Raw genomic sequence first — 16,195 nt, 5'->3', positions numbered from 1 at the left:
TGGGAGTCTGAGGTGGGAGGATCACTTGAGCCCAGGAAATTGAAGCTGCAGTGAGCCATGATCAAGCCACTGCACTCCAGCCTAGGTGACAGAAGAGAGAACCTGTCTTCAACAACAACAACAACAAAGTAAAAATCCACAGATATACGGTTGGTTCACCTCCCAAACCAAATACTTCTTAAAGGTGACTCAGGCCTGTGTGGAAGACTGTCCCACCCTGGAAGAGGGCTATCACATAAATCTATTCCTTACTGGTTTCTTCATGTCCCACTGGATTTCTGCATGTCCCACTGGATTTCTGCAGTCCCAGCCACCCAGCCTTGTTCTTTAAAACAGGAAGCCAGATTAGTTGTTGTCTTTGTGTGAACTGGCATTTCAGGGTGAACTTTCAGGAGAGTTGGAAAGTAAAAGAAAGGCTCTATCCACTGGGAAATTACCTTCTGCCACAATTTCTATGTTGAAATCATGACAAATCTTGACAGTGATAGAGAGACATCCTATAGCCTCTGAACGTGCCTTTCCCCTCTGCCCAATCTAAAACATTAAATTAGAAGTCCTATGGCACCATGATTCCATGGGTAAAAGGAATAGTACTGAGGTGGAGGAAGCCACCTGAAACAAGCAGAACCCACTCTACATCAGGAAGGGGCTCTGCCTTGGGCCAGATGCCCTTAGGGAGTAGGGGACCTCTGCTGCGTTCTCAGAAACTGCTAAGAATCCTGTTGCAATTCTGGGCCAGCCAAGCCTCTGGTAGCTTAAAGCCAGATAGAAAGGCAGTAGGTATTGTGTCCGGAATTGGTGGGTTCTTGGTCTCACTGACTTCAAGAATGAAGCCACGGACCCTCACAGTGAGTGTTACAGTTCTTAAAGGCGGCGTGTCCGGAGTTTGTTCCTTCTGATGTTCGGATGTGTTTGGAGTTTCTTCCTTCTGGTGGGTTCGTGATCTCGCTGGCTCAGGAGTGAAGCTGCAGACCTTCGCGGTGAGTGTTACAGCTCATAAAGGCAGTGTGGACCCAAAGAGTGAGCAACAGCAGGATTTATTGCAAAGAGCGAAAGAACAAAGCTTCCACACTGTGGAAGGGGACCCAAGTGGGTTCCCACTGCTGGCTCGGGCAGCCTGCTTTTATTCTCTTGTCTGGCCCCACCCACATCCTGCTGATTGGTAGAGCCGAGTGGTCTGTTTTGACAGGGCACTGATTGGTGCATTTACAATCCCTGAGCTAGACACAAAGGTTCTCCATGTCCCCACCGGATTAGCTAGATACAGATTGTGGACACAAAGCTTCTCCAAGTCCCCACCAGAGTAGCTAGATACAGAGTGTTGATTGGTGCATTCACAAACCCTGAGCTAGACACAGGGTGCTGATTGGTGTCTTTACAAACCTTGAGCTAGATACAGAGTGCCGATTGGTGTATTTACAATCCCTGAGTTAGACATAAAGGTTCTCCAAGGCTCCACCAGAGTAGCTAGATACAGAGTGTTGATTGGTGCATTCACAAACCCTGAGCTAGACACAGGGTGCTGATTGGTATGTTCACAAACCTTGAGCTAGACATAGAATGCCGATTGGTGCATTCACAATCCCTGAGCTAGACATAAAGGTTCTCCACATCCCCACCAGACTCAGGAGCTCAGGTGGCTTTACCCAGTGGATCTCCCACTGGGGCTGCAGGTGGAGCTGCCTGCCAGTCCTGTGCCGTGCACCCACACTCCTCAGCCCTTGGGTGGTCGATGGGACTGCCTGCCGTGGAGCAGGGGGCGGCGCTCGTCGGGGAGACTCGGGCTGCACAGGAGCACACGGAGGCGGGGGAGGCTCAGGCATGGCGGGCTGCAGGTCCCGAGCCCTGCCCCTGGGGAAGGGAGCTAAGGCCCCGCGAGAAATTGAGCACAGCAGCTGCTGGCCCAGGTGCTAAACCCCTCACTGCCCGGGGCCAGTGGGGCCAGCTGGCTGCTCCGAGTGCAGGGTCCGCCCAGCCCACGCCCACCCGGAACTCGCGCTAGCCCGCAAGCACCGCGGACAGCCCTGGTTCCCGCCGGCGCCTCTCCCTCCACACCTCCCTGCAAGCTGAGGGAGCCAGCTCTGGCCTTGGCCAGCCCAGAAAGGGGCTCCCACAGTGCAGCGGCGGGCAGAAGGGCTCCTCAAGTGCTGCCAAAGTGGGAGCCCAGGCAGAGGAGGCACCGAGAGTGAGCGAGGGCTGTGAGTACTGCCAGCACGCTGTCACCTCTCAGTATGCTTGTTCTGGGTCTTAGCCAGTCTATGTTTCCTATTGTCCCCACCAGTCTTTAGAATTTTCTCTTTTGTCTAGGTGAGTTCCTGCAGGGAGGAGGACAGAAAATCAGTCTCTTTGCTCTGGGAAGTCAGCCAGAGATTTCTGGCAAGATAATCCTTAAAATTAACACTTCTCAGTCTCTCCCCTTTGCCCTTCCAGAGTCTCCTTACGCAGTTACTGTTGCACTTGATGCTGTAACATCTTCCATGACTCCTACTGGCACTTTCTGGACAACCCTGGTGGCATCCCGCCTACTAAAAGTTATGCTGGTTTCGAAGGAATTTGAGCTTTTAAATTATCTCATTCTACATAACCTTATAGATCCTGTAAATAGGGGGATCACGAAGATAATATATTGTGTCATGGCAGATATTTCATACAGTGTTGTTTCCTAAATCATACTAGTATCTTAGAAGTCATGCACTTCCCAGTTTATTATGATCTTCAAAATGCTTTGTAAGATGGGGTGAGGGGAGTGGAAATATATATGTATAATATATATATATAATATATATGTAAATATTTTTAAAATTTATCAAGGCATGGTGATATTTTATATATATATATAATATTTATGTGTGTGTATATATATATATACACACACACACACACACAGGCATGCACTTCCCAGATTATTATGATCTTCAAAATGCTTTGTAAGATGGGGTGAGGGGAGTAGAAATTTTATATATATGTGTAATATATATAATATTTATGTATACACACACACACAGAGTATACATTTTTCTAACCTTTCTTGTGAATTCCTTCCTGAGCTTCCTGTTTGAGTCATGATAGAAAAGGAACTGAATTTCTGTGTGTAGGAAATTTAAGCTTCCTGCCTGCTGGTGTTCTGGAAATTGCCTTGTGTATTCACAAGCTCTAGGAGTTTTGAGAATAAGCAAGAGGCACTTTATCCAGTCCCACTCATCTACAAAAACCTATATTTTTAATGTTTAAAAAATGAGGCTTTATGGACCCACACATTATTGTATGTCTATAAGTGTTTTTTATAATTTGTAACTGTAAAGAGTTAAAACGCACAGTTGGAAAATCAAAAGAGCAATTGGAAATCAAGTTAACTGCAATAAAACAAGATGACTTTTGCATGTACAAGGATACTGCATGCAGACTGTGAAAATAGCAAATAAAGCTTTGATATAAGTTAAAAAATTTTTTTAACTGATAAATACATGCATAAAAGAGCATTTTTCCCATATATTTATTGGCCACTTGTATGTCTTCTTTTAAGAAGTGTCTGTTTAGGTCCTTCACCCATTTTTTATTAGGGTTGTTTGTTTTGTGCTTATTGATTTCTTTACATTCCTTTTAGATTCTGGATATTAGACATTTGTCAGATGCATAGTTTGAAAACATTTTCCCTCATTCTTTAGGTTGTGTGTTTGTTCTGTTGATAGCTTCCTTGGCTGTGCAGAAGGTCTTTAGTTTAATTAGGCCCCACTTGTTTATTTTTGTTTTTGTTTTTTTTTTTTTGGTCTATTTTTGGTATTTTGTCTATTTTTTATTTATTTTTGCCTAATTTTTGCCTATTTTTTGTTTTTGTCTATTTTTCTGTTTTTGTTTTTTTTTTGGTCTATTTTTTGTTGTTGTTATTTTTGTTACAATTGCTTACGGTGTCTTCATCATGAAATGTTTGCCGGGAACTCTGTCCAGAATGGTATTTCCTAGATTTTCTTCAAGGGTTTTATAGTTTTAGGTTTTACATTTAAGCCTTTAATCCATCTTGAATTGAGTTTTGTATATGGTGTAAGGAAGGAGTTCAGTTTCACTCTTCTGCATGTGGCCAGCCAGTAATCCCAGTACCATTTATTGAATAAAGAGTCCTTTCCCCATTGCTTGTTATTGTAGAATTTGCAGAAGATCAGATGGTTGTAGGTGTGCGACTTGATTTCTGGGCTCCTTAACCTGTTCCATTGGTCTATGTGTCTATTTTGCTGCCAGCAACTTGCTGTTTTAGTTACTGTAGACTTGTAGTATAATTTGACGTCATGTAGTGGGAGAGCTCTGGCTTTGCTCCTTTTGCTTAGAATTGCTTTGGCTATTCGGGCCCTTTTCTGGTTTCATATGAATGTTGGATAGTTTTTTCTACTTCTGTGAAAACCGTTGTTGGTATATCATTGAATTGGTGAATTGGTTTGGGCAGTATGGCCATCTTAACAATATTAATTCCTCCTGTCTATGAATATGGAATGTTTTTCCATTTGTTTGTGTTGTCTCTGATTTCTTTGAGCAGTGTTTTATAATTCTCTTTGCAGTGATCATTCCCCTCCCTGGCTAGATGTATAGCTAGGTGTTTTATTCTTTTTGTGGCTATGTGAATGGGATTGCATTTTTGATTTGACCTCAGCTTGGACATTATTGATATATAGAAATGCTACTGATTTTTCTACATTAACTTTGTATCCTAAACTTGACTAAAGTTGTTTATCTGATGTAAGAGCCTTTGGAAGAGACTATGGGTTTTTCTAGGTATAGTATCATGTCATCTGCAAAGAGTGATAGTTTGACTTCCTCTCTTCCTATTTGGTTGCCTTTTTCTTTCTTTCTTTTTTCCTGATTGCTCTGGCTAGGACTTCCAGAACAATATTGAATAGGACTGGCGAGAGTGGGCATCCTTGTCTTGTTCCAGTTCTCGAGGGAATGCTTTTAGCTTTTGCCCATTCAGTATGATGTTGACTGTGGGTTTGTCATAGATGGCTCTTATTATTTTGAGGTATCTTCCTTTAATGCCTAGTCTGATGAGAGCTTTTAACATGAAGGGATGTGGAATATTATCAACATCTTTTTCTGTATCTATTAAAATGATCATGTAGTTTTTGCTTTTACTTCTGGTTATATGATGAATCACATTTATTGATTTGTGTATGTTCAACATCACCAATCATTCGAGAAATGTTATCATGACCACAATGAGATACCATCTGATGCCATTTAGAATGACTATGATTTGAAAGTGAAAAAAATAAATGTTGGTGAGGTTGTGGTGAAAAGGCAACACTTATACACTGCTAGTGGGCATGTAAATTAGTTCAGCCACTGTGAAGAGGAGTATGGACGTTTCTCAAAGAACTTAAGACAGAATTTACCATTTCATCCAGCAATCCCATTACTGGGTATACACACAAAGAAATATAAAACTTTCTACCATAAAGAGACATGCACACATATGTTCATCACAGCACTATTCACAATAGCCAAGACAAATTCACCTAGATGCCCATCAACAGTGAGTGGGATAAAAAAAAAATATGGCACATATACATCACAGAATACTACACAGCCATAAAAAAGAACAAAAGCATGCCTTTTGCAGCAACAGGGATGCAGCTGAAGGACATTATCCTAAGCAAATTAACACAGGAACAGGAAACTACATACCACACGTTCTCACTCACATGTGGAAGCTAAATATTGAGTATACACAGACATAACGAATGGAAAAATAAACACTAGATTCTACTTGAGGGTGGAAGGTGGGACTAGGGTGAGGATCAAAAACTACCTGTTGGGTACGATACTTACTACTTGGGTGATGAAATAATTTGTATACCAAACCCCAGCAAGTTGCAGTTTACCCATGTAAAAATTCTGGACATGCACCCCCTGAACCTAAAATAAAAGTTGGAAGGAAAAAAATAAATAAAACAATATTTGAAAACCAAAAAAAAAAAAAAAATCAAGTTATTCACATAGAACAGAAACACGAAGAAGATATAAACTATATTTCTTCTAGTCCTGCTTAGGTCCTCTACTAAGTTGAACATTAACTGCATTATTTTTCAAAAGGGTAAAGAATCTCCCTCAACCTTCACTTGACATGGGAGAAACTGCTGTTTGTAGCCCCAGAATGTGCACTGGCCATGGGATTAGCCTCAGTCCTGGCTGCAGCTATACCTCAGGCTCTCTCTTCCTCATGTCTCAGTGCCTTGTATAAAGGGATAGGAAGACACCTTGGGATGGTATCATTGACTTTGACCAAAAGTCACCAGTTTTTCATCTTGCTGATTTCAGCATGGACTCTTGGATTCCACAGGAATTCATGGTGTAGAGGATCTCTGTTGGACACCTGCTGGTACTCTAGCTACTTTCCTGTACCAAACTTTTTTCTGGACTCTTCATATATGAAATCACTCTCCCAGTGTAGATCCAAATCTTACTCAGAAATGTTCGGATCTCCTCTTCTGCAGTGCAGTTACCTTTCATGAAGCTTATACCCAGGAGCATCATCAAGATACCACTTTTAGGCAATGCTTTATCACCACTCAGACTCCTGTTGCTGGGGACATCCAGTTCACTGAAAAGAGCATTGACATGACTGCTGGGGTCAACTTCTTCAATTCAAGGCCAAAGACCAGCTCCATGCACTCAGAGATTCTCCTGAGGATCTCAGGGAAATGGTCCTTGCACTTTTTGTTAATAACGTTCAGCAATGCTGCTTTTGTCATGGGATCTTTAATTTTACACTTCTCCAGCAGAAATTGTATTACCAAACTTCCCTTCCTGAATAGAAGGTCTCTGTGTGAGCTCCAGTGGTGGCTCTTGCTGGAGAGGTTCTTGGCTTTTCCTCATTTTGGTTCTTGGCATGTTCATCAGATCTTGTGCATGAAACATCTACAGAATAAGTGATGATGAAGGGGGCTCTCTGAGACTCCTGGGGAATGTCAGTAGCAAGAGAGCTCTGAAGAGCACTCTCCAAAACAGGAGAAAAGGAGGAGAGGGACTCTTCCTCTCCTGCAGTGATGTGAGCACCCTAGTGGCATTTCTCATGAGTGTGGAACTTCCTCTTCTGACCCCAAGGCATGACTGTGGGCAGAGACAGCAGACAGAAGCGTGAATAGGGTCGCAGGTGACATGGTCACTTGGTGGAAGGAGAATGAAATGCTGTGAGCACCGTCAGCAAGGAGAGACCACCTTGGCTTTAACCAAGGCTGCCAATGCAGGTTTCTGTGAAATCACTGCTCTAGGAACCTATTGGGCAATTGTTCTCCCAGTGAGTCTGTCCCCTGAGAACCTGGTAAAGCAACTTAGAGTGAGTCTTAGGCTGCAGCTTGCAACCCAGCTTGGGGCCTACTGGAGTGACAGCAGAGATTAACTGTGGAGATCCCTGTGTTCTGGGGTTGGGGAGAACACTCAGATGATATTTCAGATCATTATGCTAACTGTTGACAGAGCCTGGTACCTCTTTCCTGTTCTGCTCTGAAGTTGACACTTTGAAGCCCCCTGGAACCCACAAAAAGTGAGACAGTGGCTCAGCCTACCACCCTTGTCAGGGGTGACAACCTTGGGGGATCCTTTCTGTCTTGGGATCACTGGACCCTCAGTCCTTATTCAGAGTTCTCATATTGGCTCTGTGTAGGGCTTGGGACCCCCTCTTCTGTTCTATCGTGGCTTCACTTTCTTACTAAGGAGCTCACCTCCCTTAGACCCAGTATAAAACATGGGCGAAGCCTCTCCCTGACAGTCCTGCTATGGGTTTTCAAATGCTGAAAGCCAGGGTGGGGGTTGGACATTATGTTGCCCCTTCTACTGGGGGAAGGAGTATGATCATCTTAGTCTTCACCAAGGGTCCTCAATTTGACTCCTAGAAGGACTTGCAGCTCCTCTGTTCTTTGACTTGAAGGCATCTCCTCATAGCAAGGCCCAGAACTCTCTGAGACCTAGTAGAGGGAAGGGAGGGCAGCCTTATTTGGCCATACCTGCCTGGAGTCTCCCCAGGCAGAAAGCTGTGGCAGGCGCTTTTGGGCCTCATGAGGGTTGGCCTCACCAGTCCTCGCTCAGATTCTTCATTTTGACTCGTGACAGTGCCCACAATTTCTCCCTTTCGTGGCCTGATACCATCCCCCTCAGAATAAGGCCCTCATTTCTCTGTCACCCTGAGGGGGAATTGAGGGGTGCCTCTGCTCTGCCTGACATTTATCCCTGAATCTGCCAGGACTAACAGTAGGGGAGATATTATGTGCTGCCTCCATTGTTATAGGAGGTTTCATGTTCTGCTCCTTCCTCATGGTCCTCGCCCTGACTCCTGGCTCGACCTGGTAATGTTCTCTATGATGAGATGGCCAGCCTCAGACCAAGTTCCTCACCACCTGGAGTCCCCAGACGTGGAAGTCAAAGTGATCTTGCTGGAGCTATTAGGGGATTCTGAGAACTAATAGCAGGAGAAAGACTCTGTGGGACTCCACTGTTCAAGGGTTTGTGACTCCTTGAGTTCTCACTCAGCCAGGATCTCTGACTCCTCCCTCTAGTGACATGAGTCCTCCAGGGAGAGGAATGAGTGGCTGACATACTCGGGTTATTCGTGCCTGGGGATTTCCAGGGCTGAAAGGGGCAGGACTATGTGGGTTCCTGTCTCTTCTAGGTTGGTTGCTCCCCTCAGTCCTTGCTCAGGGTCCTCACAATGAACATTCCTAAGACCTAGAGGCCTGTCTGCTTATGTACAGCCTTTAATTCCCTATGACTACCAAGAAGGAAATACGAGTTTCCTTGACTACCAAGAAGGATGTAAGAGTTTCCTTATCTGAGCATGAAAGCCTTATGGTCACCTACAGCTGACAGTACCTGAGGGATTCTGCGTTGTCTGTACTGTTATGATTTGGGTGGTTCCTTCCATCCTCACGGTCCTCAGCTTGACTGTTTGCATGACCTGGAATTTATCCCTGTGGTAACCTGAGGCTGGCCCCTTAGACCAGATGCCTTACCTCCTTGAGATGCCTTGAAAGGAAATGAGTGGGACTCATCATCTCAGAATTCCCGGGTTTGCCAGGGAGAGACATCAATGGCAGGGCTTTGTGTGGCTCCACCTGTTCTGGGAGGAGTACCGTCATCCCTGTTTAGGGTCAGCAGTGTGACTCCTATTAAACATCCTCTGCTGACTAGGGTTGCTCCCATTAGACTAAGACTCTCACTTCCTTGAGACCACTCCCAGAGGAACTGAGGGGGCACTTCAGCCTGAGAGTTCTGCCCTGGGCCTCCTAGGGCTGACATTAGGGTCAGGACACTGTGCATTCCCACTGTTCTGTGGTGAGTGGTCTCCTCTATCCTTCCTCAGCATCTTTACCTTGACTCCTACCTAACGAAATCTGAAACTCTACCCTCCACTGACTCAAGGCCTCACTCCTCAGACCAAGGCCATATCTTCCTGGAATCTCCCAGTTGGAAGTTAGGAACAGGCACATCTGGCCACAGTTATTGAGGATCCTCTGAAGAATAATAGCAGGGTCAGAATCCTACAAGATTCCACTGTTTTGGAGTCAGTGGCTCCCTCAGTTCTCACTCAGGTTTCTAACATTGATTTGGGGATGTGGAACTCCTTCCTCTGCTAATCTGAGTCTGCCAGCCTGAAGCCAAAGCTTTTCCTTTACTGAGAAACCAGAGGGGGAAGTCAGGGTGCTTCTCCTTGGCTACCCCAGTGTCCTCACCTTAAATCCAATCCAGGCTTGAGAGGACCTCCTTCGTGGGCAGAATTGGAGCTACTGCCATGAGATCAAAGCTTTATCTCCCTGGGGCACCAGTAGAAGCCTTAATGAGGGGGAACCTCAACCAGATAGCCCTGCCTATGGCCACCCAAGGCAGAAAGCAAGATATAACTTTAAGAGCCCCTACTGTTCTGGGTGGATAATTCCTCATTTCTCATTCAGAGTCCTCATCTTGATCATTTTCAGAGGCTGAGATCCTCCTCCCAGTAACCAGAGCATATTACCCTTAGACCGGGACTCTTATGTACCTGAGAACTTTGAGTAAATAGAGAAATTTTAGCTTACTGCTATAGCTTGGGCCTTCTAGATCTGAGAGTAGGCAGGGCCTGGTCTTTCTGTGACCCCGATATTCTGAGGCAGTGATCTCCAGAATCCTCATTTATGGGGGTTCTCATCATGCCTCCTTTCTCTTTAAGACTGCTGGGAAATGTCACACACCTGCAAACAATTGAGCAGATTCCCTACTGCAAACCTTGCAGACAATGGCTCACTGTCCCAGGTTCTGTATGAGATAGGGAAGCTGTACCACAAGGCAGGAGGCCCAGGACAGGTGGTGGGCTGTCAGTGAAAAAAGCACCCTGATCTATTCCTTTGCTTCACCAGCCAGACTTAGCCTATTATGTACTTTGCTTTGAGGAGATTTAATTTCTATGGGGAAAGGGCAGAGCAGGATGATTTTGGGAGCTCCTGATCTTATTGGGTTATCTAATGTTGCATATGTAGATGATCATATTGTCACTGTGTATTATTTTTTTCTTTTCGTAATTCATACTACTCATTTTTTCAGCATTATGATTACTCTAGTTGTAGAATCCAAAGAAGTGCTTTGGGTACAGTGTCCTTTTAATGCTCTGGTAAGCATTTTGGGCAGTGAGAGGAAAAATGGATTAAAAGACACAAAGTCTGGCTCAGGCTGAGAGGATTGGAAAAATGTGGGCTCTGGATGAATCCAGACCAGAGATCTAATCCCAGCTCTGTCAATTACAAGCTTGTGAGCTTTTAGAAATTTGCAATTTCTTCATTTTGAAGTGAGTCTGCTAAATCCTATCTTGTAGGAATTTTGGGGTATAAGTACTGTCCATAAAACATATGGCATACTAAGTAGGAAATACTGAGTCTTTCATAAATGACAGATATCATAATATGTGTTTTTACACAAATTATTTTTAATTTTCCTAACTATATATTAAGAAACAAAATTACCACATCTTGAAAATATTTGAGACAGTTTAAGCCTATGGAAGTTCTTTGAATTTAGCAGCCTTGTTTCAAAAAGGTTTTTAGTGAACTCATTCTGGCTTATATTGATCACTGCATTTCATGTGATTATTTTAAACCCAGAAAATACCACCCTCCAATCAGAGGGGTTTTTTGATGCAGTAGATAACATGGAATATGAAGTGCACTAGAACAAAACAAACTAACGGCAGTCTTAATAACCTAAATAAATCCAGGTATCCTTTATTTGTATGAAAAGAAATAGGAAAACGAATTAGGCAAACCAAGAATTAAACAACTTTTACATTTCTGTTTTTCCTTTTCTTTCTCTTCATATTATGATGTCAACTATTTTACTGTGGAGTTAAGATTCATATGAAAATCAATTCTCTGTTACCATGTTATCTAGTTCTCAATTACAAAGAAAATGTGTTGTATGACTTTGTTTTATTAATTCCCAAACCGTAACTTTCAGATTGGTTAAACAGCCATGAATGTGAGAGCTATGTTATTGATAATTGTATAATCTGAAGCAAAATAAACCTTCACTTAACAGGAACAATGTTGATAACTGACAGAGATAAAACATAAATCTGCAAGTTACTCATGTGTAACAAAAGAAAGATACATATCTTGTTCCCTCCAGCCTCTACTATACTGCACTACTTAGAAAGCTCACTACTCTCTTCTAACATAAAGTGAAAATTCTACTTCAGACCTCCCTAGAAATGGGAGGATCTGTAGGATATGGCCCCATAAGGTACCCTGGCCAAGGAAATAGTGCCAGCCCTGCCTTAAGCTCTCAGTCTCAATGCTCTCTCTACCTCATCTATCAAAGCGTCTTCATACAGATGTGGGTATAAACCGGGACTGGTGTTACTGCTGTCGGCCAAAACACGCAGGACTCTCATCTTGGTGGTTTCAGCATAGGCTCGTGGACCCCACAGGAACTCATAGCATGGAGGATCACTGTTGCACACCTGCCGGTAAACCACGTACTTATCTTGCACCAAATCTTCAGTAATGATCTTCCGAGCATCCCCATAGATTGAATGCAGGATCCCATCATATATCCCCAACAGACCCAGGAACTCCCAGACCTCCTCTTCAGTGGCACAGTTGCCGTTCATGAAGATCACAACCAGGAGCGACATCAGGAGACCCGACTTCGGCAGCGCATTATCACCACTCAGAATTCCTTCACTGGGGAGGCCTAGCTTGCTGACAAGGGTGTAGGACTCGCCGCTGGAATCCATTTCTTTCAATTCAACGCCAAAGGCCACCACCAAATGTTGGGAGGTTCTGTTGAGGATCTGAGGGAAGTAGGGCTTGTACTCTCTGCGGACACACTTCAGCATGTCTGCCTTCAAAATGGACTCTTTCTTCTCAAACTTCTTCTGCAGGAATTGCGCCAACGTGCACGCCTTCTTCTTTACAGCATCTTTGCTTAAGCGCTTAAAAATGATGGCTTTCTGTGAGGCGCTTACACTTTCCTCATCTTCACCCTCGGCAGCCACATCATATTTTGAGCCTGAAACACCTGCATCAGGCGAGCCAGTGGGTGAAGCTCCCTGAGACTCCTGAGGAACGGAGACATCATGGGAAGTGCTTGGACTTTTCTCATCTTGGCCGTTGGCAGCCACATCATATTTTGAGCCTGAAACACCTGCATCAGGAGAGCCAGTGGGTGAAGCTCCCTGAGACTCCTGAGGAACGGAGGCATCACGGGAGGTGCTTGGACTTTTCTCATCTTGGCCGTTGGCAGCCACATCGGATTTTGAATATGAAACAACTGCATCAGGAGACCCAGTGGGTGACACTCCCTGAGACTCCTGAGGAATGGAGGCATCAGAAGACCTACGACAATCACCCAGACAAGCGCGAGAAGAGGATGAGGAAGAGTGGGACTCTTCCTGCTTCTCTGCAGTGGCCTGGGGACCCGTGAGACCCTGTGGCTGACCATTGGTCTCTTGGCGTTTCTCACAGGTACGGAGCTTACTCTTGTGACCCCGAGGCATGATGGCTGTGGCCTGTGACAGCAGGTAGGAGTGTGGGTAGGAAGACTAGGAAGGCTGGCACCTGGATGGGAGAGAGTGACGTCACGTCAATATCTTCAGCAGAGAGCGACCATCTTGGCTTTAACTAGGGCCCCTTCTGCAGGTTTCCGCAGAACAGCTGCTCTAGGAACCCACAGGACTCCTTTTCTCCTGGTCAGTTTGTCTCCTTCAAACTCAGGAGGAAGTTAGAGTATTAGACTATAGCATGACAGCCCATTTTGGGGCTTACTGAGGTGACAGCAGGGGCTGGCAGTGGGGGCCCCTCTGTTCAGGGGTTGGATCCTCTCTGTTTACATTCAGGATCATCATTAAAACTGGAAACCATCATTCTCAGCAAACTATCGCAAGGACAAAAAACCAAACACCGCATGTTCTCACTCATAGGTGGGAAGTTAACAGTGAGAACACATGGACACAGGAAGGGGAACATCACACTCCGAGGACTGTTGTGGGGTGGGGGGAGGGGGGAGGGATAGCATTAGGAGATATACCTAGTGCTAAATGACGAGTTAATGGGTGCAGCACACCAGCATGGCACATGTATACATATGTAACAAACCTGCACATTGTGCACATGTACCCTAAAACTTAAAGTATAATAAAAAAAAAATTGTTGACAAGACCCAGAGGCCCATTTCCTTGTGCCACTCTGAAATTGACAGTAGGAATTTTAACCCGGAGGAAATAAGGAAGCACTTCTGCCCAACACTTCATTCCGGGGACACCCAGACCACCTAGGGCTGACAACAGCGGAGGCATTTGAGTGCTCTTCCAGTTATAGTGAGAATGCTCCTCACAGTAATTAGACTCCTCACCCTGACTCTTCCCACAACCTGGAAATCACCCTCACTGACCTGCTGCCATCTCCTTACAACCAGGGGCCTACCTCTCTGACTCTCACAGGGACAAAGTGAGAATGCACCTCAGTCTCTAGAGACCTGCCCGGACCCCCAGGCTAACGTCAAGGGCAGAGTTCGGTGCAACCCGTTACGGGACATGGAATCCCCTCCCTCAATTCTAAGGAGGGTCCTCTTAACTATGTAGGGCCTGAGATTTCTCCCTCTACTGACCTGGGTCCACAAGCCTTGGACCGAGGCCTTCATGTTCTTCAACACGACGGAAAAAAATGAATGGACTTTGGGCCTAACAGCCATGTTTGGGGACTCCTCAGGGACCAGGTCGGGGCAGGTTGGGGCAGGGCTCTGTGGAGCCGCCTTTCTTCGGGGGAAGGGGGTTGAAGTTGTCGGGGAATGCCCCCCGTTCTAGGTCAGGATACCCACCAAGACAGCTGAGAAGATCTGGGACGCCTCCTTCCGCTGACGTGACAGCACTTTTCAGGCTCAGGCGACCGGCTCAGACCCCTTTATTAGGTGGAAGTCAAGAGGAACCACTTCCGGCCACGCCCACCTGGCGCTCCCTGCGTAACAGTAGCTGCAGGGCTCTGTTACTCCCCCTTGTGTTCTGTGGGTGCAGCAGATTCCAGGGAACTCACGTAAAGTTCTTTCAGGGGCTCTTCGCGGACCCTTGGACTTCTCTATCTGTTGAGCTGAATCAGTCAACCGGAGATAGAGGCTCTCATTCCCTGAGAGTCCAGAGTTGGAAGTAAGGTGCAGCCTGAGCTCGGGAGCCATGCCGGGACCTTCCAAGACTGACAGTAGGGGTGGAGCTCTGTGAGACCCCCTTTTTGGAATGGACTTTGCCCTCAGCCCTCACTCAGTGTCGTCGCTTCATTCTTGCCATGTCCCCTCTACTGACTTGAGGACACCCTCTCAGACTAGACTTCAACTTCCTGAGACTCCTCATGTGCAATTCAGTTACACCTCACCTGGCCACTACTGCCTGGGGCCTCCTAAACCTGGCTGCTGCTATTAAGTTGTGATGCAAGATCGGGGAATGAAGGGAGATTTGGGGGGCACTCTTGTCTCTTCTGATATGTGGAGCCCCTCAGTCCTCACTCAGGGTCCTCACATTGACTGCTGGCAGGGTCTCAGTTTTCTCCATTTTCTGATGTAAATTCATCCCCTTCCTCTGACTAGATCCTGTAAAATTCATAAGGAGAAAGTGAGAAGACTTCTTAGCCTGATAGCTATGTCTGGGACTTCTCTCTTGGCTGACATCAGTGTCTGTATTCAACACCTTCATGAATGAATTTCTACCATTATCTTGTGTGACTCACTGCAATATTTGCTATCCTAATTTAGTCCATTCTTTATATTATATTAAAATAATACGAATTTAAAGGCCAGTCCACTTCCACTAAAGAAGTTTCAGGTAGTTATTAGCACAGTGTCTGGATTCATACTTCTTCAGCCTACCCAGATGTTTTTGCTGTGGCAATATTACCCCATGGAACTGGCACATAGGGTCCAAGTTTCTGACTGAATTTCCTTTAGTGAAGCAGAAAAAAAAATGCATTGTCCAATGGCACAGTGAAAGAAGCAAAGACCAAAGTTTTAAAGCTTTTCCTCTAGCCAATTCCGTTATCTGCGTCTGTTGTAGGCCACAGACCTGTCTCTACTTCAGCTCATGCCCCTACCTGCCCACACACCCATTCTTGTTCAATACAAACTGACCATCTCTCAAGGTTCGCATTTTTGTTGTTTTGCTGTTGTTAATACTGCTTTTTTTTTAAAAAAAAATTCTTCCTTTAACTTTTCTATGGTTGAGTTTGGTCATGGGAAAGAACCACCCGGGTTTGGTTGTCATCTTCACAGCTATGGCTAAGGCAATGAATCTGTAAAAAATTTAAGGAGAATCAATAACTTTACAATATCTCCTCCACAGTAAATAAACATAGTACACTGCTTTATTGGAGATTTATTTTTCCTAAGTCTTTCAGTAAATTTTTATAGCTGTCTCCTTAATGAACATGTACATTTCTATTTGGTTTTCTGTTAGATATATTTTGGATATTGTTGCTGTTGTGAAAGGCATATTTCACATTACATATTATAATTAGTTATTGATTTTGTGTGACTATACTCCTGACTTACCTATGGTGATCTTTTGTACACACGTTTTCTTTATTTCCTTATACATTTAAATATTTTTGCACCAATTACGTTGTTTTATTTTTAAATTAGGAGATTATATTATCACAATTATCTCCTTTTGTTATTGTTACCTCTAATTTACTCGGTATTATTATTATAG

The 16,195-nt window shown here is 44.7% G+C and overlaps 1 protein-coding gene across 1 annotated transcript; it reads right to left on the bottom strand.

Moving 5' to 3' along the window:
• Nucleotides 11,204-14,410, bottom strand: MAGEB6 (MAGE family member B6). The gene is made up of 2 exons (NM_173523.2): nucleotides 14,323-14,410; nucleotides 11,204-13,064 (listed from the first exon to the last, which is right to left on the bottom strand). The coding sequence occupies exon 2, from the start codon at nucleotides 13,001-13,003 to the stop codon at nucleotides 11,780-11,782; it is 1,224 nt and encodes a 407-aa protein (NP_775794.2). The 5' UTR covers nucleotides 13,004-13,064; nucleotides 14,323-14,410; the 3' UTR covers nucleotides 11,204-11,779.

The sequence above is a fragment of the Homo sapiens genome, chromosome X (genome assembly GCF_000001405.40).
Source record: "Homo sapiens chromosome X, GRCh38.p14 Primary Assembly".
NCBI lineage: Eukaryota > Metazoa > Chordata > Mammalia > Primates > Hominidae > Homo > Homo sapiens.
The sequence above is the reverse complement of the archived record's forward strand: the minus strand, read 5'-3'. Positions and strand labels throughout refer to the sequence as shown.